Source organism: Homo sapiens, chromosome 13, assembly GCF_000001405.40.
Source record: "Homo sapiens chromosome 13, GRCh38.p14 Primary Assembly".
Taxonomy (NCBI): Eukaryota; Metazoa; Chordata; class Mammalia; order Primates; family Hominidae; genus Homo; species Homo sapiens.
In genome coordinates, this window is record NC_000013.11 from 65582762 (window position 1) to 65607242 (window position 24481).

The 24481-nt window shown below is 35.2% G+C and overlaps 2 annotated features.

Annotated features, from left to right (window-relative positions):
• Positions 1110 to 1916: an enhancer, noted in NCBI's record as "OCT4-NANOG hESC enhancer chr13:66158003-66158809 (GRCh37/hg19 assembly coordinates)". NCBI's record gives its function as "activates a minimal SCP1, AML or CMV promoter by ChIP-STARR-seq in primed H9 embryonic stem cells {active_cell/tissue: H9 hESC(primed)}" and the evidence as "EXISTENCE:reporter gene assay evidence [ECO:0000049][PMID:30033119]".
• Positions 2687 to 3248: an enhancer, noted in NCBI's record as "H3K4me1 hESC enhancer chr13:66159580-66160141 (GRCh37/hg19 assembly coordinates)". NCBI's record gives its function as "activates a minimal SCP1, AML or CMV promoter by ChIP-STARR-seq in naive H9 embryonic stem cells {active_cell/tissue: H9 hESC(naive)}" and the evidence as "EXISTENCE:reporter gene assay evidence [ECO:0000049][PMID:30033119]".

Below are 24481 nucleotides of genomic sequence, written 5' to 3' on the forward strand. Positions count from 1 at the left end.
TAATTCAGTTTGTCTATGTGTTTTTTTTTAAATAAAAGATGGTACTATATTAAACTAAAATAAAATAGACTTCTAGTTATAAAATATTGTTAGAAAAATAATATAATAAAATATCCTACTAAAATAATAATTTAGAATGTATAACATAATTTCAAAACATATTGAATTAAATAAAAATATTTTACCCCAAAATATATTTCTTCGACATTATTTTAAAATGGCTAACACAGGGCCAGATTCTTCTGTAGAGAATCTCCATTAATGTAGCCAGGAATTCCCTATCTAGGCCTTTCCAGGATCTAGAAAACTTTACTGGAGTATGATATCTTTAAAAGTCCAAAACGAAACATTTACCATCTATTCTCTCTGAGAGTTGCTATCTATGAGGCTTCATCTACATAACACCACCCCTTTGCTAATCAAGCCTCTTCTCTTCTCCCTCTCTTAACCTGTCTTGCCACTAGAACCTGATTTATCAACATAACACGGTTTTGGCTATGCTCTGAGCCTGCATTATTTCTGTAACCTCAAGATGGTATATAAGCTTCTGTACTTTACTGAGGAGTTGGATCATCATTCTGAAAGCTTTGTGTATACATGTTAAATAGATTTACATGGTTTTTCTTCTATTAATCAATCTGCCTAATGTCAGTGATTTTTCATTGAACCTTTAGGGAGCCAACAGCCTTGGCCCCCACGATACACAGGATATATTCTATATCCTGATAGAATTGCTGGAGAAAAATACAAACATCTATAATCGGAGTAAAAGATATTGACATAACTCTCTCCCAGTAACTGATAGAAAAAGGACACAAAATTTCAGTGAGAGTAAAGATAATTTGCATAATAGGAATAAAGGAATAACATTTGTTTAAAATGTTTATGTGCAGAACACTGTACTCCCAAAATAGCAGAATAAACACTGTTTTCATGTATGCATAAGGAATTTACCAAAATTTACCAAGTATTTGGACATAAATTTTGACCAAACAAATGTCAAAGGATTTACACAAAAAATGAACGTATTTATGACAGGAATAAAAGTTTGCTAAAAATTAATTGCAGAATGTTAACTAGAAAATTATTTGTTTGAAAATAAGTAATGCCACAAAGAAAAACTCATAATGTAATGGGAAAATGTTTAGGACTTAACAATAATGAGGATACTATAAATCAAAAACCTATGAGATACAGCTAAGGGTACTTACAGGGAAAGTTACTCTTTTGTGCAATGGTGAGGGGTCTCTTTGGCTTCCTCAAAGAACATCTTTTGCAGCTTCTCCAGCCATTTCCCAGTGAATTATCTACTTCAATATTGCAGTTCAACTTTGACTATCAGATAAGCAATAGTTTCCTGAAGCTTGCTAACCTGGGCAAGGACCAAGCCGGCTTTAAGATTCCTCCTCTACTTAGATAGATTTCTTCCTGATTCTAGGCTTCTAACCTCACTTTTCTTAGAGCACTTATCTCAGAAAATGTGTATTTGAAGATTCTTTCTCTGACTCTTTGAAATGTAAATTTTCTACAATCCAGGAATGTCTTTCTCAAGGACCTGGGAGCCATCCCTTTGAAATATAATCATCAAGACAGATAGTGCCCTGTCTCTCAGTCTCTGTGGGAGGGTAGAAACCTAACTTTGAAGAGGAACAATTAGCGAACAGGGATGGCCTAATCACATTGACCAACTTAAATGTCCTACAGTACTTTGCCATGAGCTAATCCCAGCATTTAACTATCCACCTGCCTTTTGTTTCAGGGAAGTTGAGTTCAATGCCTCTCCCTTATGTGCAAAGTCTTGAATAATAGTCTCGAAAAATTGTCCAGTTCTATTCAACTTTCAGTGTGATTTTTTTCTTCTGACAGTAGCAGCAACAACTTCCTGAAATTCTGAACCACAGTTGCAGTCATGGCCTTTCTTGAATATTACCCCTCTAGCTCATTAGATAATTTTATAATTATCTTATTCTCTACATAAAAATCTATTCATCTTTGAAAGACCTAGAGTTCTGTTTAACAACAGCAAAAAAAAAAAAAAAAAGAATTTAAATAAAAAAGAGGAAATCTAGATCTTCCAAAGAAGAGTCGACTTAGAATTTTTAAATGAAAGCCACTTTAACCTTAACACAATTTTTAAAAATTCCTCTTTTAGCCATACTAGGAAAAATGGAGACCAGGGTGAGCATTACTTAATATAATAGGAAGCTCTTGAGTTGGTAAAGCAATGAGAGACCAAATGATAGTTTTTCTCCCTTCATTTTCACATGTCACAGTAAAAATCAGAATGTTTAATTAAAAAAAATCATCTGGGTAAAATCAATTATTCTTTGGTACATCAAGACTTAAAGACTCTCAATATTGGAAGCTGTTCATCTTAGAATACGTGGATAAAGATGCTCAAATTAGAGGGATCATTCCAAGATGGCCACATAGGAACAGCTCCGTTCTACAGCTCCCAGAGTGATCGACACAGAAGAGGGGTGATTTCTGCATTTCCAACTGAGGTACCTGGTTCATCTCACTGAGACTTGTTGGACAGTGGGTGCAGCCCACGGAGGGCAAGCTGAAGCAGGGCGGGGCATCGCCTCACCCAGGAAGCTCAAGTGGTCGCGGGATTTCCCTTTCCTAGCCAAGGGAAGCCATACAGGGTACCCGGAATATTGAAACAATCCCGCCTTAATACTGTGCTTTTCCAAACGTCTTAACAAATGGCAAACCAGGAGATTATATCTGCACTTGGCTTGGGGGGTCCCGGTCCCACGAATCCTTGCTCACTTCTAGCACAGCAGTCCAAGGTCGAACTCTGCACCAAGGCTGGGGGAGGGGCGTCTACCATTGCTGAGGCTTGACTAGGTAAATAAAGCTGCCAGGAAGCTCGAACTGGGTGGAGCCCACTGCAGCTCAATGGGGCCTGCCTGCCTCTGTAGACTCCACCTCTGGGAGCAGGGCACAGCTGAACAAAAGGCAGCAGAAAGCAGAAACTTCTGCAGACTTAAACGTCCCTATCTGACAGCTCTGAAGAGAGCAGTGGTTCTCCCAGCATGGAGTTTGAGCTCTGAGAATGGACAGGCTGCCTCTTCAAGTGGGTCCCCGACCCCGAGTAGCCTAACTGGGAGACACCTCCAGTAGGGGCCAGCTGATGCCTTACACAGCCAGGTGCCCTTCTGAGATGAAGCTTCTAGAGGAAGGATCAGGCAGCAATATTTGCTGTTCTGCAATATTTGCTGTTCTGCAGCCTCCACTGGTGATACCCAGGCAAACAGGTCTGGAGTGGACCTCCAGCAAACTCCAAAAGACCTGCAGCTGAGGTTCCTGACTGTTAGAAGGAAAAGTAACAAACAGAAAGGAATAGCATCAACATAAACAAAAACGACATCCACACCAAAACCCTATCTGTAGGTCACCAACATCAAAGACCAAAAGTAGATAAAACCACAAAGACGGAGAGAAGTCAGAGCAGAAAAGCTGAAAATTCTAAAAACCAGAGCGCCTCTTCTCTTCCAAAGGATCGCAGCTCCTTGCCAGCAACGGAACAAAGCTGGACTGAGAAGGACTTTGACAAGTTCACAGCAGTAGGCTTCAGAAGGTCGGTAATAACAAACATCTCCGAGCTAAAGGAGGATGTTCGAACCCATCGCAAGGAAGCTAAAAACCTTGAAAAAAGATTAGATGAATGGCTAACTAGAACAAACAGCATAGAGAAGACCTTAAATGACCTGATGGAACTGAAAACCATGACACTAGAACTACGTGACACATGCACAAGCTTCAGTAGCCGATTCGATCAAGTGGAAGAAAGGGTACCAGTGATTGAAGATGAAATGAATGAAATGAAGTGAGAAGTTTAGAGAAAAAAGAATAAAAAGAAATGAACAAGGCCTCCAAGAAATATGGGACTATGTGAAAAGACCAAATCTATGTTTGATTGGTGTACCTCAAAGTGACAGGGAGAATGGAACCAAGTTAGAAAACACTCTTCAGGATATTATCCAGGAGAACTTCCCCAGCTGTGGAAGGCAGGCCAACATTCAAATTCAGGAAATACAGAGAACACCACAAAGATACTCCTTGAGGAGAACAACCCCAAGACACATAATCTTCAGATTCACCAAGGTTGAAATGAAGGAAAAAGTGTTAAGGGCAGCCAGAGAGAAAGGTCAAGTTACCCACAAAGGGAAGCCCATTAGACTAACAGTGGATCTCTTGGGAGAAACCCTACATGCCAGAAGGGAGTGGGGGCCAATATTCAACATTCTTAAAGGAAAGAATTTTCAACCCAGAATTTCATATACAGCCAAACTAAGCTTCATAAGTGAAGGAGAAATAAAATCCCTTACAGACAAGCAAATGCTGAGAGATTTTGTCACCACCATGTCTGCCCTAGAAGAGGTCCTGAAGGAAGCACTAAACATGGAAAGGAACAACCGGTACCAGCCACTGCAAAAACATGCCAAATTGTAAAGATCATCAATGCTAGGAAAAAACTGCATCAACTAACGAGCAAAATAACCAGCTAACATCATAATGACAGGATCAAATTCACACATAACAATATTAACCTTAAGTGTAAATGGGCTAAATGCCCCAGTGGAAAGGCACAGACTGGCAAATTGGATAAAGAGTCAAGACCCATCAGTGTGCTATATTCAGGAGACCCATCCCATGTGCAGAGACACACATAGGCTAAAAATAAAGGGATGGAGGAAGATCTACCAAGCAAATGGAAAACAAAAATAAGCAGGGGTTGTAATCCTACTCTGTTATAAAACAGACTTTAAACCAACAAAGATCAAAAGAGACAAAGTAGGCCATTACATAATAGTAAAGGGATAAATTCAACAAGAAGAGCTAACTATCCTAAATATATATGCACACAATACAGGAGCACCCAGATTCATAGAACAAGTCCTTGGAGACCTAAAAAGAGACTTAAACTCCCACAAAATAATAATGGGAGATTTTAACACCCCACTGTCAACATTAGACAGGTCAACGAGACAGAAAGTTAACAAGGATATCCAGGACTTGAACTCAGCTTTGCACCAAGCAGACCTAACAGACATCTACAGAACTTGCCACCCCAAGTCAACAGAATATACATTCTTCTCAGCACCGCATCACACTTATTCCAAAATTGACCATAAAGTTGGAAGTAAAGCACTCCTCAGCAAATGTAAAATGTAAAAGAAAAGGAATCACAACAAACTGTTTCTCAGACCACAGTGCAGTCAAACTAGAACTCAGGATTAAGAAACTCACTCAAAACTGCACAACTACATGGAAACCGAACAACCTGCTCCAGAATGACTACTGGGTAAATAAAGAAATAAAGGCAGAAATAAAGATGTTCTTTGAAACCAATGAGAACAAAGATACAACGTAACATTATCTCTGGGACACATTTAAAAGAATGTGTAGAGGGAAATTTATAGCACTAAATGCCCACAAGAGAAAGCAGGAAAGATCTAAAATCGATACCCTAGCATCACAATTAAAAGAACTAGAGAAGCAAGAGCAAACAAATTCAAAAACTAGCAGAAGGCAAGAAATAATTAAGATCAGAGCAGAACTGAAGGAGATAGAGACATAAAAAACCCTTCAAAAAAATCAAAGAATCCAGGAGCTGGTGTTTTGAAAAGATAATCAAAATAGAGAGACCGCTAGCAAGACTAATAAAGAAGAGAAGAGAGAAGATTCAAATAGAAGCGTTAAAAAACGATAAGGGGAATGTCACCACCGATCCCACAGAAATACAAACTACCATCAGAGAATACTATAAACACCTCTATGCGAATAAACTAGAAAATCTAGAAAAAATGGACAAATTCCTGGACACATACACCCCCCCAAGACTAAACCAGGAAGAAGTTGAATCCCTGAATACACCAATAACAGGCTCTGAAATTGAGGCAATAATTAATAGCCTACCAACCAAAAAAAGTCCAGGACCAGACAGATTCACAGCGGAATTCTACCAGAGGTACAAAGAGGAGCTGTTACCATTCCTTCGGAAACTATGCCAATCAATAGAAAAAGAGGGAATCCTCCCTAACTGATTTTATGAGGCCAGCATCATCCTGATACCAAAGCCTGGCAGAGACACAACAAAAAAAGAGAATTTTAGACTAACATCCCTGATGAACAATGATGCGAAACTCCTCAATAAACTACTGGCAAACCAATTCCAGCAGCACATCAAAAAGCTTATCCACCATGATCAAGTTGGCTTCATCCTAGGGATGCAAGGCTGGTTCAACATACTTAAATCAGTAAATATAATCCATCACATAAACAGAACCAAAGACAAAAACCACACGATTATCTTAATAGATGCAGAAAAGCCCTTTGACAAAATTCAAGACTCCTTCATGGTAAAAATTCTCAATAAACCAGATATTGATGGGACGTATCTCAAAATAATAAGAGCTATTTATGACAAACCCACAGCCAATATCATACTGAATGGCAAAAAACTGGAAGCATTCCCTTTGAAAACTGGCACAAGACAGGGATTCCCTCTGTCACCACTCTTATTCAACCTAGTGCTGGAAGTTCTGGCCAGGGCAATCAGGCAGGAGAAAGAAATAAAGGTATTCAATTAGGAAAACAAGTCAAATTGTCCCTGTTTGCAGATGACATGATTGTATACTGAGAAAATCTCATCGTCTCAGCTCGAAATCTCCTTAAGCAATTTCAGCAAAGTCTCAGGATACAAAATCAATGTGAAAAATCACAAGCATTCCTATAGACCAATAACAGAAAAACAGAGAGCCAAATCATGAGTGAACTCCCATTCACAATTGCTACAAAGAGAATAAAATACCTAGGAATCCAACTTACAGGGGATGTGAAGTACCTCTTCAAGGAGAACTACAAACCACTGCTCAATGAAATAAAAGAAGACACAAACAAATGGAAGCACATTCCAGGCTCATGGATAGGAAGAATCAATACTGTGAAAATGGCCATACTGCCCAAGGTAATTTATAGATTTCATGCCATCCCCATCAAGCTACCAATGACTTTCTTCACAGAATTGGAAAAAAATAAAACTACTTTAAAGTTCATATGGAACCAAAAAAGAGCCTGCATTAACAAGACAATCCTAAGCAAAAAGAACAAAGCTGGAGTCGTTATGCTACCTGACTTCAAACTATACTACAAGGCTACAGTAACCAAAACAGCATGGTACTGGTACCAAAACAGAGATATATACCAATGGAACAGAACAGAGCCCTCAGAAATAATACCACATGTCTACAACCCCCTGATCTTTGACAAACCTGACAAAAGCAAGAAATGTGGAAAGGATTTCCTATTTAATAAATGGTGACTGGAACACTGCTAGCCTTATGTAGAAAGCTGAAACTGGATCCCTTCCTTACACCTTATACAAAAATGAATTCAAGATGGATTAAAAACTTAAATGTTAGAACTAAAACCATAAAAACCCTAGAAGAAAACCTAGGCAATACCATTCAGGACATAGGCATGGGCAAGGACTTCATGACTAAAACACCAAAAGCAATGGCAACAAAAGCCAAAATAGACAAATGGGATCTAATTAAACTAAAGAGCTTCTGCATAGCAAAAGAAACTACCATCAGAGTGAACAGGCAACCTACAGAATGGGAGAAAACTTTTGCAATCTACCCATCTCACAAAGGGCTAATATCCAGAATCTACAGAGAACTTAAACAAATTTACAAGAAAAAATCAAACAACCCCATGAACAAGTGGGTGAAGGATATAAACAGACACTTTTCAAAAGAAGACATTTATGCAGCCAACAGACACATGAAAAAATGCTCATCATCACTCATCATCAGAGAAATACAAATCAAAACCACAATGAGATATCATCTTACACCAGTTAGGATGGTGATCCTTAAAAAGTCAGGAAACAACAGGTGCTGGAGAAGATGTGGAGAAATAGGAACACTTTTACACTGTTGGTGGGACTGTAAACTAGCTCAACCATTGTGGAAGACAGTGTGGCGATTCCTCAAGGATCTAGAACTAGAAATACCATTTGACCCAGTGATCCCATTACTGGGTATATACACAAAGGATTATAAATCATGCAACTATAAAGACACATGCACACGTATGTTTATTGCAGCACTAGTCACAACAGCAAAGACTTGAAACTAACGCAAATGTCCGTCAGTGATAGACTGGATTAAGAAAATGTGGCACATATACACCATGGAATACTATGCAGCCATGAAAAAGGATGAGTTCATGTCCTTTGTAGGGACATGGATGAAGCTGGAAACCATCATTCTGAGTATACTTTTGCAAGGACAGAATACCAAACACCTCATGTTCTCACTCATAGGTGGGAATTGAACAATGAGAACACTTGGACACAGGGTGGGGAACATCACACACTGGGCCCTGTCGTGTGGTGGGGGGAAGGGGGAGGGATAGCATTAGGATAAATACCTAATGTAAATGACGAGCTAATGGGTGCAGCACACCAACATGGCACATGTATACTGTGTAACAAACCTGCACATTTTGCACATATAACCTAGAACTTAAAGTATAATAAAAAAAATCTGAAAGAAAAAGGTCCTCAAATTAGGAAAGAAGAATATAATTCAAGGGATAATTCCTAGTAAGTATGAATGAGAGTCATCTTTCTTATTTAAAATAGAAAACTGCTAATAAATCCACTTTCCTAACTCATTATTTTAACTAAATGAAATATTTGACAATTTTTCCCCATCACGTTGTTTAAGGAATAATGTTTTCCCTGTGAAATTTTCATTTATTTATCTTAATAAATTATTATTTTATCATTAGGAAGCGTGCAGAAAACTTAAACAATGAAACAATAAGATTCATATGACCAGTAGTGAATCATAAGACTATTTTTGAGGTCAGAAAATAGTCAATACTACCCAAAAGTTGATTTTCTTTATCTGGGTTTAACATATACTCAAATTTGCCTGGGGTCCAGAATGCTTAAATAAGGAATTCTTCTTTACATAGGTATTAATCTACACAAATGAAATGTCAGCTGTTATTGCATGCTTTTTGCTTTAAATTGCTTATTACATGCTAATCTCCATAAGCAATTATGGACCAATCCTTTATTCAATAAGCAGATGTTTATTAGTAATTTCATGTGCAAGTCACTTTACTAAGTCTTTTGCAAGATTCATAAAGATGTAAAATTAAATAGGAATAGCAGTTTTAGGTCCATTTACTTTTGAGCCAAGCATTGTAGAAAGCAATTATGAATTGTTAAAAGGGGATTACATACAATAAGCAGAAGCAGAAAAAAAGTAAAGAGAAAGATATTTAAAAGAAAAACAATCCACTTTATTTTAGCATAACGTATTTATATTTAAAATAGTGAAGAATATGTTAAAAATGACAGTTTTCTGGTAAAACAGCTTGAATGAGAACTTGAATGACAATTAAAATAGCATTAAGGCAATTAATGAGCATTTACTGTATGTCAGATATGTTGCTAGATACTTTTGATTAGAGATGGTGAATAATATATGTTAACTAAACAGAACCATGATCTAATGAAAGAGAGATACTCATAAACAAACAACTTTAACATGAAGTGACATGTATCTTAATAAAGTTATTTATAAATAGAGAACACAATTTGATCTTGGAGCTTCAAAATGATATGTTAACAATTTAATATTTAAAGTGGGCCTTTAGGTATGAGTACAAGAATGAAAGGAAGTTGAAATATGATATAAAGTTAGAAACTGGGGTGTGGTGAATGTTTTAAATGTATAGTAAAAAATTGAATAAATATTTCATACATCTGGAAGTGTATTGGTTGAAAGAGGTGAATTTTAGCTTACATAATTATCCTATATATTTTCGGTATGCTTTAATTCTGAAACATGTTACTTTTGGTGGAGTTACAGCTAATATTTTGTTACCAAGTCATATCAACTTTTAACACATACAGAATCCACTGGACTCTTTGTCAATACTCAGAGTCTCCATTCTTGTGTATAAACTAGAACAGCTATTCTGATTTTAGCAAAGGGATAAAATACTCAGCCAAACTTTGAATGAGAAACGACATTTAGTTTGGGTGAGCACATGAATAAGACCTTTTCATTTAGCTGGAATCACTTTGCAGTTTAAGATAAAATAAAAGGTCAGCAACAAAGGGCACATATGGAATCCTTCATGCAGACACCACCCAAGTAATCACAGAAATAGAAAAAGAAAAATGTGGGGGCCAGTTTGCATCCTGCAGCAACAGGAATGTGTACATTTCCATGACCTCTACTTTCACAACCAACTTCTAGTGTAATTATGAAACCAATTTGTCTTTGGAATTCTTACATTTAATTTCTTCTATTATTTGAGGTAGCACATTTTCTATTTCCAAATATTTCCCATTCTCATTGTTAACCCTCCACTGAACATTTTTCATGACTCTTTATTCTTTAGATGTCTCATTTTTACGTACTCTTCAGATCATTAAACAGCTACCCTCTCAATTAGGGCTAAGGATAGACCTGCTAGTCTCTCTCTCTTATCTCTAAGTTTTCAGTTTGTGATACAATTAACTAGAAAGAACATTTCTGCTTTTAAAGGAGCATTTCTTTGAAGTGAGGCATGATAAATATTTTTGACATACTCTTAGGAAAATAAGCTGCTTTTCTGTATCAGTAACTTTCATCAAATTGAATTAGTGCTGTATTGCATTAGTTCTCTTTCCCACTATTATAACATGTGAGTTCTTAATAAGACAATTTTGTTCTGTATTAGGCAAATTTAATATTCATGCATTATGAAGAAACATTGCTAATATGATAGAAAACTGCTAGGAAAAGCAAACGATTTCATTAAAACTTAAATAAAGCTCACTTTACATTTTCTCCCTCCTTGAATACCTGTCTATACTAATCAGCTGGTAGAAAAGGCAGATGAGGCCCTAGAGACCAGGCGATACATAATCCTCATTCTCAGCACAATCTGATGTCACCTTTTGGACTCAAAATCATTCTCCTGGATTGTAGTTGGAATTTTTAAGTGCAGAATATTTAGGATGTTTTAATTTAAAATGATCATGACTTGCTCTACTTTGTCCTGGCCTTGCTAATTGATGTCTATCATAACTGCAGGAAGAAGACATTTGTGAGCAGTGCAATAACTCGCTGAATCTTCATAAACTCTGAGTCAATAAAATAATGACACAAATTTCACATTCTTTTAATGCGGCATCTGCTTCATCAGTTGAAATAATTACAACCCTTGCTTTGAAGAAGTCTTAATGACACAGACCAAATCTTAATAGATAAGTAACTAAGATGAACACACTGTTCCTTTTCATGCATAAAAATAACACTATTTTAATTGGAACTGAATTAGAGTGTATGTTGGATTTTGCAGATCCTCAAATACTTTATTTAATTTGGACTTAATAAAATTACACAATTCTAAAAATGAAAAAAATAAGGCAAAATTATTAGAAAACCAAAATGAGTAAGTACATTAATTTGTTCCAGATTTAAATATAGAAAATCAAAGATTAAATCATCTTTCTATCCAAAATATTTTGAAGGTTACTTACTCAGTGTGATTCAGCTACTGCACAGTCAAAATGCAGAAAAATAAATCAAATGTAAATTCTAGTTGCTATCTACCACAGAGACAGATATTAAGACAAAAATGCAGCTGGGAATACATCCAAAGGGCAATTGGTCATTTGTCTGTTGGAGTATAGAAAACTTTCAGTAGAGAATAAATTAGAAAAAAGCAGAATTGTGCTACATCTGGGAACTGTGCCTAATAGTTAGACTTGTGGAAAGTATAAAATCATTAATGCATGGTGCTTTTCCAAAATTTAAAGCTATTCAAATTTATTTCTCAACTATAATTTTGTATAAACATACAGTCATGCTGCCAAGGTTACCAATCAGCAGAGATCAGAGGAAAAGCTCTATGAACTATGTCGTGTTCACAGTGGTTCTGATCATTTTTAGGTCCTTGGGAACTCATTCAAGATGAGGCTTACAACTTTATAAGACTTGAGCTCTCAGAATAATTCTCCTTTAAACAAAGAAAAAAAAAGAAAAACAAGTCAAATACATTAGCACAACATACAGCTTAGAAGTACCGCTGCAAAAGGAACATATTGCTAATTAAGTACTGGTGCCAAATCATTACCAATTACACATATATGACATACTGACACTTGTTCATATTTTGATGACCGATCACTCAAATTTTTAAAAAGATTCTGACAGTAATGGAAATTCAGAGAAAACATTTCTATTGCTATGTTATTGCTACTTAAGTCTCGCTCCGGACTTTCTTCAGTGAAGGGCATTTAAGCTATTCATGTATTCTAGCCAAGGGTAAAGTTAAGGTGATTGCAGTGAGAAATAGAACATTACTACCTAAATATTTTTTAAAGGTTTTCATGTGTTATTTGATTTTTTAGTTTTCACAAGTTATTAATTTAAAATATTCTAGAGTTAAGGCAAATCAGATATTGTCTATACTCTAAATATTCATACACACAATTTTACTGAAGAACACAGCAAATTAATTCAACATTGATGCATGATATCTAATCTGCTTGCTCTTTTACTTTCAATGTCCTTATGTGCCTAAAAAAAACCAACGAGGGTTTATAAGCCAAAGAATGCACAAAAATATTTATTTTGAGCTGTAGAAAAATATTCTAAACAAATTACGGAATTAATTGCATTTATCTGTTTTAATGTTGAGATCAACAAAATAAAATTTAATTAAATTTTAGAAATATATCAAATATGGAAAAGAAATGATTGTAGAAATAGAAGACAATGAACAGAAGTAACAAATTTAACATTTATAAAACCAGAAACATGGTCGAACATTAGAGTGTTGTGATGTGAAGTTATAAATCAGTTGGTTGATAACTATGTAAAAGCAGATAACTCTGTTAAAGCTACATTGCCAGATCTTTTGAAATTTCATTGTTGGGATAAAGTTTGAAGTAAATTATACAGTTTATAAAAATAATGAGGTCAGGAGACGAATCTAGCTGGTTATCTTCCTATTATTTGAAGTATGTTGTCTCATTGATTTGGGTAATCACTTTGTAATATTTTCAGTTCAACCTCTGTAACAGGCATATAGTTTATGCATATATTTTTATTTTTATTATTTATTTGTGGTAAGCTGCTCCAATTATAGCAAACTGTAGCATCTGTGGTTTCATTTATGGTGCTGAAGGAAAGTGATTACTGTATTATGAGGCGACCATACTCTAGAGTATAACAAAACATGAAATATGACTCAGCTGAGGACATTCTTATTTTCCAGCGATATAGTTATCTCTGAGGAGCCACATCTTGTAGTTACCAGATGTTCCACAATAACAGTAACTCTGGAGTTGCTTACTTGTTATAACAAGAAGATTTTACTACATAGGAAAAGATTGGCATTTTCTCTGCTGGAAGAAAATGAAATTGGCAATATAGAAAGGCAATTTCAACTGAGCTATGTGGTTTACATTGATTAATCTATCTCATTAGAATATTAGCCAGCCAATCAGAACCCATTTCTATCCATTTTCTAATCTATGCCATATGTCTAGGTTATAAAAAAGCATTTTCCTTAATTTCAGCTACTATTGAATCTACAATTACAAAAGAAGCTGACCTTTTCTCTTAACCACCAAAAGTTTGGAAAATAAGTTTTGTTATTTTACGAAATATTTTTGTTCTGATTTGGAGTACCTAGGAATACAAAAATGAAGACAATTGTGGAAAACCATTTAATTTTTCTGTCTTATTTTCTCTATCATTTCTTCTTATTCCTTGGTGGAAGTTTGAAATAATATAAGTTGTTCATCAACATCAGTATGGCCTGTTTTATATATAGTCATCATACAAATTTAAATTCTTATCACATCAAAAACTATGAGTTAAAGAAATTACTAATCAATTAATCTACAGAGAAAATATGTTATATGATTTATGTAGTAGACACATGTCATAGACACAAAACAAAGAATTTTCATATTCCATTACTGTAAAAACTTTGCTTTAGTAAGCTTGTATAGCCACATTTATTGCCTTGGGATAAAATAGGTTAGAAAAGGCCAGAGAAGACTTTCAATGTGGACATTCAGAGAAGTTTCTCCTACTGTTTGATACATATGTCATGTTCCAGTCATTTTGTAAAGAACACTGGCAATATCCAAGCCACAAAGACATATACACATTGATCCATCAAAAATCTTTCCAAATAGATCTCATAAAATAAATAAAACTGAAAATGCATATAATTTATTATAAATATGTTTGCCAAGTTTTTTGCTATTCACAAAAACTGGAAAGGAAACAAATGCCCATCAAGAGGGAAATGATTGATGTTTTTTCGTCTCATGGAATATTACATATTTTTTAAAATGAATGGGTTAGAATTATGTGATTTTAGCTAGAGTGATTTGTCCACAATAATTTTTAACAATATTCAGATACATAGAAGTAATACAATCATTTTTAAATGCACTAGAGAGATAGACACACATATATATGATTGATATAGATAGATAGATGGATAGATAGATAGATAGATAGATAGATAGATAGATAGATAGATACTGTAAAAGCACACACAAAAAAGTGAACAGTTGCTATATGATAGCGGCCAAAGTTAAACCAAGGTGGGAGACAAGCAGGAAGAAACAAATAAAGGTAAACATTTTTAAAAGGATATACATATATATATATATATATATATATATATATAACTTAATAGATCGCCTGAATGCATTTGTTACCTCATGACAATAAGTGTCAGGACATATATATGCAGGAGTAAATAAATTGAGTGAAAGAATGCATTATATAATAATTTCTAAATGGAGTTCTTCATTGACTATGCTGTCTAAAATTATCCTCTTCCACTAGTCTTTCCCAACATCCAGATCTTTTCTTTTACAGCAGCCTTCACAACTTTTATCTGTATTAGATTGTTATTTGTCTTTCTCCCTCATTACAGTCTGTGATCCAAAAAGGCAGTGACAGTTTTGTTTAGTCCAGCACCCAGTGCAGATTAATAAACATGATTTCATGAATACTGTATGAGTGAGTGAATGAATGAATAAAATGAAATGTAGCCATTTTTATATTATGAATGGTAGATAAATAGTTAATAATATCATTGTATGTCATGAGGAAACTAAGTAATAGGAGATCAAGAAAAAGAAGTTCCTGAAAGGCCTTATGGAAAAATACAGAAGAGTGTGGTGTAATGGAAGCTTAGAAAGCAAACAGCTTCAGGACAGAGGGGTGGCTAGCCACTTTCAACAAATACTATTAAAAGAACAGATTAGATAGGGAAATACAACTTCCCATAAAATTTAGCCTCATGGATAAAACTGATGACATGAACACAAGCCAAAGAAATATTTAGCATACTTAACAACAGATTAGCAATATCACATATCAATCAAAATAGATACTGTGTTAGTCCCAAGGCAGGGTCTTGGAGGCCCCCTGCTATGCCAAGGATTATCCCAATAAGTGCTAGATTTGGAGGAGGTCTGATATGTTGAAAAAAGGACTTGGACAGCCCACACAGTGAGTAGGAACACAACAGCTCATAGCAGCAAATATTTACCAGTATGTAAGTCTCTTAATACTTCAGCCAAGTGTTAGGAATTTAGCAAAGTGTTTGTGGTAGCTGAATAACAAGTTTGGAATTAAGCAAACTCAGGAGAATGAAGGAGGTAGAAGCCAGATGAAAGTTAGTTACAGAGTGAATGAAATTTCATTTTCTGACAATATAGCAGACTAGATGGCATACAGATTATTAACAATATAAACATCATGTAACCATCTCCCAGATTACGAAATAGAACATTACCAATAGTTATGAAACTGTCCACTTGGCTACAAATATCACATATTCCTCCCCTTTCCACAATCTTTTTCTGAGTTGTGTGTTTCTTTTCCACATTCCCTTTTTAAATGTACTGTTTAATTTGTGTATATCCCTAAATAATAGTTTTTTAAAAATAATTCTGGGAGTAGAAAGAATACAGATTTTTAAGGCTTAATACAAACACAGTTATAATGTGTAATTCTTTTAAAAAATTGTGTTACTTGAATTGACTTTCATTCTTCTTTGCTCAGGATAATATTAGATTTGTCACACTATAACAGAGTAGATAATTCTTTTTTAATGTGACAATACTATACCCAAGTGGGCAAAAATTAGTTCTTGGGATAGAAAAAAATATTCTTCTTGTAATTAAAACACAGTATATGTATAGTATTAAATTTTCATATTGGAGGAAATTAGAAAAAAATATGCTAAGGCTTCTTAGGTAAAAATGAGAAAAGTTTGAGACAATGAAGTAGATGAATAAAAGTAGGCAAATCAAAATTTAAGAAAAATACATGTGAGTTTGGAAATGGTATTTTAAAATGAAAAGGAAATAAGAAAGGAAAATCAGGAAAAACCAGGAGTGAAAGCTGTGTTGCAGGCCTAGTGGTCAGCCTCTTTGGACTAGAGTAAGGGGAAAGAACTGAGGATATCTGCCACTAAGACAAATAAAAGCAAAAAATGGCCTTAATGACAAAATATATAAAGAGAAGAGAGTTAAGAAGAATTAATGTTACACATTTAGGAAAATTTACAACTTAAAACGTGAAGCCAAACTAATACAAAGTGAATCAGGCAAGAGTTGAGGAATTACAGCATTTACAAATACTACTGGAAGAAAACAAAACAAAACAACTTAACTAGATGACACCATCTGGAAAAGAAAATATTAATCTAAATGAAGAGTTGCATAGTATGCCAGCACTGGTAAAAGAAGGAGTAGCAATCTTTAAATTTATTTATATATACAACTGAGGCTAAACCAAATTGTGGACAAATAACCAGAAAGTATTGTTATAAAATCTAAGATACACAAAAATATTCTAACAAATATCCAAGGTTTAAAAAACTAGATGGCAAGAAGTGTAATCTCACTATTTCCTAAATATTCAGTTAATAAGACAATTCCTATAATTTATTTTTAAATACATAATTATTTTTAAAAAATCAATGTTTCTTCTATCTCTCTAAGTATCTCTATTACAAGTTCTGTTATAACGCCAGAAAGATTCAATGTTATCTTCCACTATGACATCTGAAACCTTGAGAGGTGGCCTAGGTGCAAGCTCACCTCTCCCATGCAGTCTTGTGGATGAAGAACCCGAGCCAAACAACCCTCCTTTTTATGAGGACCAAGCAGAGTGCCTGTTCACTGTGAAAAAGTGGGCCTCCTGAATATAGCACACTGATGGGTCTTGACTCTTTATCCAATTTGCCAGTCTGTGTCTTTTAATTGGAGCATTTAGCCCATTTACATTTAAGGTTAATATTGTTATGTGTGAATTTGATCCTGTCATTATGATGTTAGCTGGTTATTTTGCTCGTTAGTTGATGCAGTTTCTTCCTAGCATTGATGGTCTTTACAATTTGGCATGTTTTTGCAGTGGCTGGTACCGGTTGTTCCTTTCCATGTTTAGTGCTTCCTTCAGGAGCTCTTGGAGGGTAGACGTGGTGGTGACAAAATCTCTCAGCATTTGCTTGTCTGTAAAGGATTTTATTTCTCCTTCACTTACGAAGCTTAGTTTGGCTGGATATGAAATTCTCATAGGTGGGAACTGAACAATGAGAACACCTGGTCACAGGAAGGGGAACATCACACACGGGGGCCTGTTGTGGGGTGGGAGGAGGGGGGAGGGATGGCATTAGGAGATATAAATAATGTAAATGACGAGTTAATGTGTGCAGCACACCAACATGGCACATGTATACATATGTAACAAACCTGCAGGTTGTGCACATGTACCCTAGAACTTAAAGTATTTTATATATATATATATATATGAAAAAGTGGGCCTCAGCTCTCTGCCAGCCTGCTGAATTATTCCAAAAAGTCAATCATATTTTGAGGGGACAGGGAAACATCTAACTTCTTGTTACTATAAAGTTCCTGGCAGTCCACTCTGTTGCAGGCTGCAACTCCCATGTGGCCCTGCATGGCCATAACATCCTTCACTGCCTCCCCTAAGTCTAGGGCAGAAGTTCTGCCCTCTTTAACACGGTGAAGAGACGATAATCTAAACACAAGTTATGACTAATCAAATCGTCATGTTCATTCTATGCACTGGAGATAAACATCTGTTTTGTTTATTGGCAAGATTTAAAGTACACGTCACATGTCTATTTCCCTCAAAATTGGAATAATGATGTCTTTATGAGAAAAAATGTCTTTTATTCTCTTTTTGCCTAAGTGCTGAATATGAATAGCTAAGTGACTAAAAATATGATCTCATAATGTGGCCAGAAAGAAGTTTTTTCATTTCTTTTTATTAAGCCAGATTTTAATCCAAACATTAATTAGTTAAATAATTCTTTTTATTTTCTTGAGACAGGGTTTTGCTCTGTCTCTCAGGCTGGAGTGGAGTGACATGATCTCATCCCACTGCAGCCTCGATAGCCCTGTATCAAGTGGTCCTCCTGCCTCAGCTCCCCAAGTAGCTAGGGCTGCAGTCACACACCACTGTGGCAGACTAAAGTTTTTTTTTTTTTTTTTTTTTTAAGAGACAGGGTTTCACCGTGTTGCTCTGTCTGGTCTCGAACTCCTTGGCTCAAACTATCAGCCCGCCTCAGCCACCCAAAGTGCTGGGATTACAGGGGTGAACCACTGCGCCTGGCCCAACTAAATAATTTTTTAAAACATCCTTTTAGAAGTTGGTCTGTATAAAATGAGTTTATGTACAAAACATTTATTTCATTTTCTCCTAAAGCTTCATTTTATCTTAAATTATTAACAAAGTCCATAATTTTAATTTGAAATGGAATTAAAAGAAATGTCAGGCTAATAATTGTAATTATATATTTTCTATTTTATTGAAAGAGAAAAATATAGGTCTCTTTTCATGATAGGGTAGGGAGCAGATACTAAGAGACTGGGAAAGAGCAGAGGAGATTCCACATTATTGCAATTTTATTCATGAATTTCAAAAACCAAAACTAATAGAAAGGTTAAAGTGATTTCTTTCTAACAAGATTTTCTATTTGTGAGAGTCACTAAAGAAATGTTTCAATCTTAAGTAAGGACATTTTACAAAGAGTACAGAATTGATTTACTATGTGCCATTGATCTTGCTGTCAGTCAATCCTTTCACAAAACACAGAAGAAACAGGCCTTGTGAGACATACCAGTAGCAAATAAATTGATAATTAAAGTGTGGTTGGACACATAGGACCTCCAAATGTAAGTGGGGTCACCAAGAGAACAATAGAGAGTGATTGATATCGTTTGCATTAGCATGCAATTTAGAAGGAAGAGGTTTGAATAAGGCATGCCCACAAGAATATAAATAGACAGATGTTAAAAAGGAGACACTAATCTTACAGACTCCATGCATTCCATAATTTAAATGAAGGACAATAATTTATAATATTATGTAGAGACAGGATTTCACAAGAAAGAAAAAAAATACTATGAAAATCAAATTGGTACATGCCAGACAACTGATATTATACTTCATATCCCAAACTGCAGAACTGTCTGTACTGCAAACTTATTCTGGGGTATTTCTGTACATTTACCATGGAATGTATGGAAAAACAGGTACTTGTTTTCCTACAGAGTGAGAATGGCATATGTAAATCCCAATTTACATAATGTAAAAAAAAGTTGAAGACTGACAAGAGAGCAGCTAACTCTAATCGTAAGAGCATTTTGTTCATGAGTATTTTTGTACCTATACTTTTATTGTAAAGTCTTGTAAAGACTTTACAATATTATTGACCAACATAACTAACGATCAGGGAAATGCAAATCAAAACCACAATGTGATATCATCTTACTTCTGCAAGACTGGCCATAATCAAAAAATCAAAAAACAGTAGATGTTGGCATGGATGTGGTTATCAGGGAACACTTCTACACTGCTGGTGGGAATGTAAACTAGTGCAACCACTATGGAAAACAGTGTGGCGATTCCTCAAAGAACTAAAAGTAGAACCACCATTTGATCCAGCAATCCCACCACTGGGTATCTACCCAGAGGAAAAGATGTCATTTTTATTTTTTTCTATTGAGGTTTGCTATAATACTATGAGGTATCTTACCTTATATGTACTGGAATGTATCTTACCCTTTGGAGTGTGCCAGAGTATATAGCCCAAGTAGAATGGTTGCTTGTATCACAACATGGACTTGGCACAGTGCCCCTTGCTGTAATAGGTAAAACTGGAAGTTAGCAAGTTTGCTTGTCACTTTGTATTTATAACTAGATCAGAACAGTTTTATTATGTTCTGTGAAATATGCTGTGTCCAGAAGTCAAAGAGAACTTTCAGGTGTTGCTGTAAATACTTAGAGTCAAGTATAATAATCTGTTCTTTTTTATTAAGACAAAATTTAAATGATCATTTTGAATTTTTGGCATATATTTCTGTGAATTTTAACATTTGTGTAAGAAATACTGAAATCAGGATACAGAAAAATTCCATCACCCACCCCAAATTTCTTCATGCTATTTCTCATCTCTTTCCCTGATTCATAATCTTTAGCAACCACTTATCTGTTCTCCATCACTACGGGTTTCTTAAAATTGATAATGACATATAAAAGAATCATACAGTATGTAACCTTTTGCAACTGGCTTCTTTTACTCAGGATAATGTCTTTTATATTCATCCAAGTAGTCGAGTGCATCAATAGTTTAATTCGTTTTATTGCCAAGAAAAGTTCCATTGCATGGCTATATCAAAGGTAGATTATTCTTCATCAATTGAAAAACATTTGGGCAATTTGCAGTGCATATTTTACAGTTTTGAATACAGTTGTTCTAAACATTTGTATACAGGTATTTGTGTGAATATAAATTTTCATTTTTCTACATTAAATACTCATAAATGGGGAGGGCGCGGTGGCTCACGCCTGTAATCCCAGCACTTTGGGAGCCCAAGGCCGGCAGATCACCTGAGGTCAGGAGTTTGAGACCAGCCTCAACATGGAGAAACCCTGTCTCTACTGAAAATACAAAAGTTAGCCGGGAGTGGTGGTGCGTGCCTGTAATCCCAGCTACTCGGGAGGCTGAGTCAGGAGAATTGCTTGAACCTGGGAGGCGGAAGTTGTGGTGAGCCGAGATCGTGCCATTGTACTCCAGCCTGGGCAACAAAAGTGAAACTCCGCCTCAAAAAAAAAAAAAAAAAGTCATAAATGGGATTGCTGAGTCATAAAGTAAAAGTATTTATCTTCACAAGAAACATAAGGCATTTTTGAGAGTGGTTGTACCTATTTGCATACCCCACTGCAGTGTATGATATTCCTGGTTCTTCTGCATCCTTATCAGCATTTGGTTGGTTCTTTGCTTCAAGTGAATGTGTGCCATGGCCTAAACTACTAGCCTCATCTGTAACATTTCACTAATATGGCAAAATCTTGACTCTTTATGAATCTCTCTTATTTTTGGAGACAGGGGTTGGAGAGACGGGGTTTCACTGTTGCCAAGGCTTGAATGAAGTGATACGATCATAGCTCATTGCACCCCTGAACACCTGAGCTCCAACAATCCACCTTCCTCAACCTCCTGGCTAGTGGGACTACAGGAATGTCCCACCACATCAAGCTAATTTTTAATTTATTGTGTAGAGATGAGGTTTCGCTATATTGCCAGTGCTCTGAATCTTTTTTATTTTTTATACTCCAGAACATACAATTTTTGAAAAGCCTTCCAATGAACTTTTCACTTTTGGCCAATTAACATGGTGTCGTAAGACTCTCCAGACATTCAAATCCTTTTGAACCATATTTTGCAGAGCATAGGGCAGTTAACATAAACCTGAGTCAGGACTATAATATATACTGTCTTTTGTTAATGTAAATTGCTTCTGGTCTTTGTTCCTGGTGAAATATTATAGAACACATTTGTTTGATAAATGACCTGTTACATATGTTTGAGTCCATGTTCTTCTGTTCTAGCAAATGTGTTATTACAGCTGCAATTAGGACTACTATTTGTTCATTTTTTCAGAAGTCTTATGTCATCTTCTAGTATCCATCTTGGGTTTTGGGGACAACAGACAGGGATTAAATGGAGTCCTAATGGTTATCATGAATCCTGCCTCTGATGGATATATAAGGAGCCAATCATCACTGCCATTTATCCTGAGACATTACCTTTGTTTACTATCTTGACCAGGATGAGAGAAGTATCATAAACTTTCATGTTGCCTTCCTACAACATGAATTCTTACTCTACAAGCCAAGTAATCACGATGGAAACACGCATACTCCAAGTATATGCGCCACGCTTATACATTTGTGGACCACAAAGCTGAATACTGGCTGAGTTTCCAGAACCAGATAATCTCCTATGAGCTTCACCTTAACCCGGATATGTTCCCAATCTAACATGGAGATTGGATATCTTTATATTAGGACAGTGAGGATAACAGAGAGAGTGTTTAATGTGTACTGTTTCAGTAACATTTGTTACAAACTGTCATCTCGTGCACATCTCAGATTCTTATTAAAGAGCTTCAATGGCACCTTGAGAATAAGGATGACTCCAGATTTGTATAAAATCATTTATGATTGCATAATTTAAATTAGTTGTCAAACTTCTCCAATGACAACCTTCATTTACTTTTAGTCACTGTTGCTATTTCATGTCTAAATTTTAGGTTTATGCTTCAATTAGTTGTTTTTATTCTCTAAGTTTTCTATCTAGTTTCACTTTATATTCTTCACTTTCATTTTAAGCATATTGCAAAACCATGAGTAATCAAAATTTAAAAGATGTCACTGCTACTGGTATAATTATGAGAGTACACAGATGGCTTGCTAAGTAAAGAAAAGAAAAGAAAAAAAAATATTCCAGTAAAGCTACAAATGCTAACTTTCAACCTGGGAATCTTTTCCTCTGTAACATAAGTTCATTGCCAGAGAGTTGTATATGCAGAAATCATAATAACATCTGTAAAGGAGAATCAGAGGATTTTAACAAGAGACTGATATCCATAAGGTGTTGATACTCAAGTATAGTCATAGATCTCTTCTCCACTGAGGTAATTTCAAAAGTTTCCATTTGACATTAAAGTACATTTTATAGGAATCAATGTATTAAGCAGCAGGAACCAAACAGTACTGTTTTTAGCAGATAGTCTCAAGAAATATTTGGGATAATACAGCACAAATAGATTTGATTTTTAATTCTGAAATCATAATAATAATGACCGTAGATACAATGTCCTATGGAGCATTTAATGTATATGATCTTTGAAAAGGTTTTATAGTCTAACTTCAATAAATGTTTACTGTCTAGAGTCATGAGGGCTGAGTTCTACGTTTTTTATCAAACTTGACCAAGCATATGCAAAAGCAATCTTTTGAGCTAGTTGATTTGGTCCTAAATTGCCTTCCTTTCCAATAATACACTCGTAAACCAAAATCATAAATGATCTTCACAAGTGCAAATGTTATTTCAAAGAATAAACATTTACTCTTTAAAATTTAATCTTCTACCGTCTTCTTCTGCCATTTTTTAAAATTAAGTAGAAATAAGACGTGAGATGGATTTTGAAGTGAGATATGAAAGGCAAGGAGTTTTGATGTATGTGGGAAGTAGAGGAATGAAAGTAAATAATAATATGACTGACAAGCATTATATTTTATAGCATTGTAAATGATAAACCATTTTCATAAAAGGTTTCATATTTACATAAAACCTATATATATATTCAAAATTGAGACCTATATATATATGAATTCAAAATTCACCTATATATATATAATATGTAGGTGAAATATATATATATATATATATATATATATATTCCCTAGGTGAATTTTGAATTGTGCCTTCTCTCTTCTTTAATGGTAATTCAAATACAGATAGAAGCACAATAGAGATCCATCAGATGGTTGCCTCATAGCTAGTGAGTGTCATGGAATTTCGCCAAACCACTTTACATTTTTATGTAGCACAGATTGGTTTCACATAGTACTACATTAACTGTGTTAGTGATTATACGGAAAATGAAGTCATTCTGAACAAGTTACTCTAAAATAGCATAATAGTGTTTTGTGTATGCCCTTTCCCATGGCATATTTATGAGTGAGATGATTTTCTGATAAAGCAAATATGCACCACTATTAAACAACTGAGGTTTCAGTGAAGATTCAAAAAGGAAGACTCCCCATTTTTTTTTTGTTTGTTTGTTTTGTTTTTTGTTTTTCTCTGCTAACTTGGCCATTACATCCGGTGGCTGCCATAAGGTATTTTGTAGTGCTTCATCAGAGTAGAATCAACCCAATACTTATACAATTTTCAAATCTCTCAAAAGAGGACCCAATCTTCTACTTCCAGATATATATTTTGGAGATACTGAGAAAAATGTACAGCCTATCAAACCCAGAAAAGTACGGGTTTAAGAAGAGTGATTATCTTGTATTTTTTATTT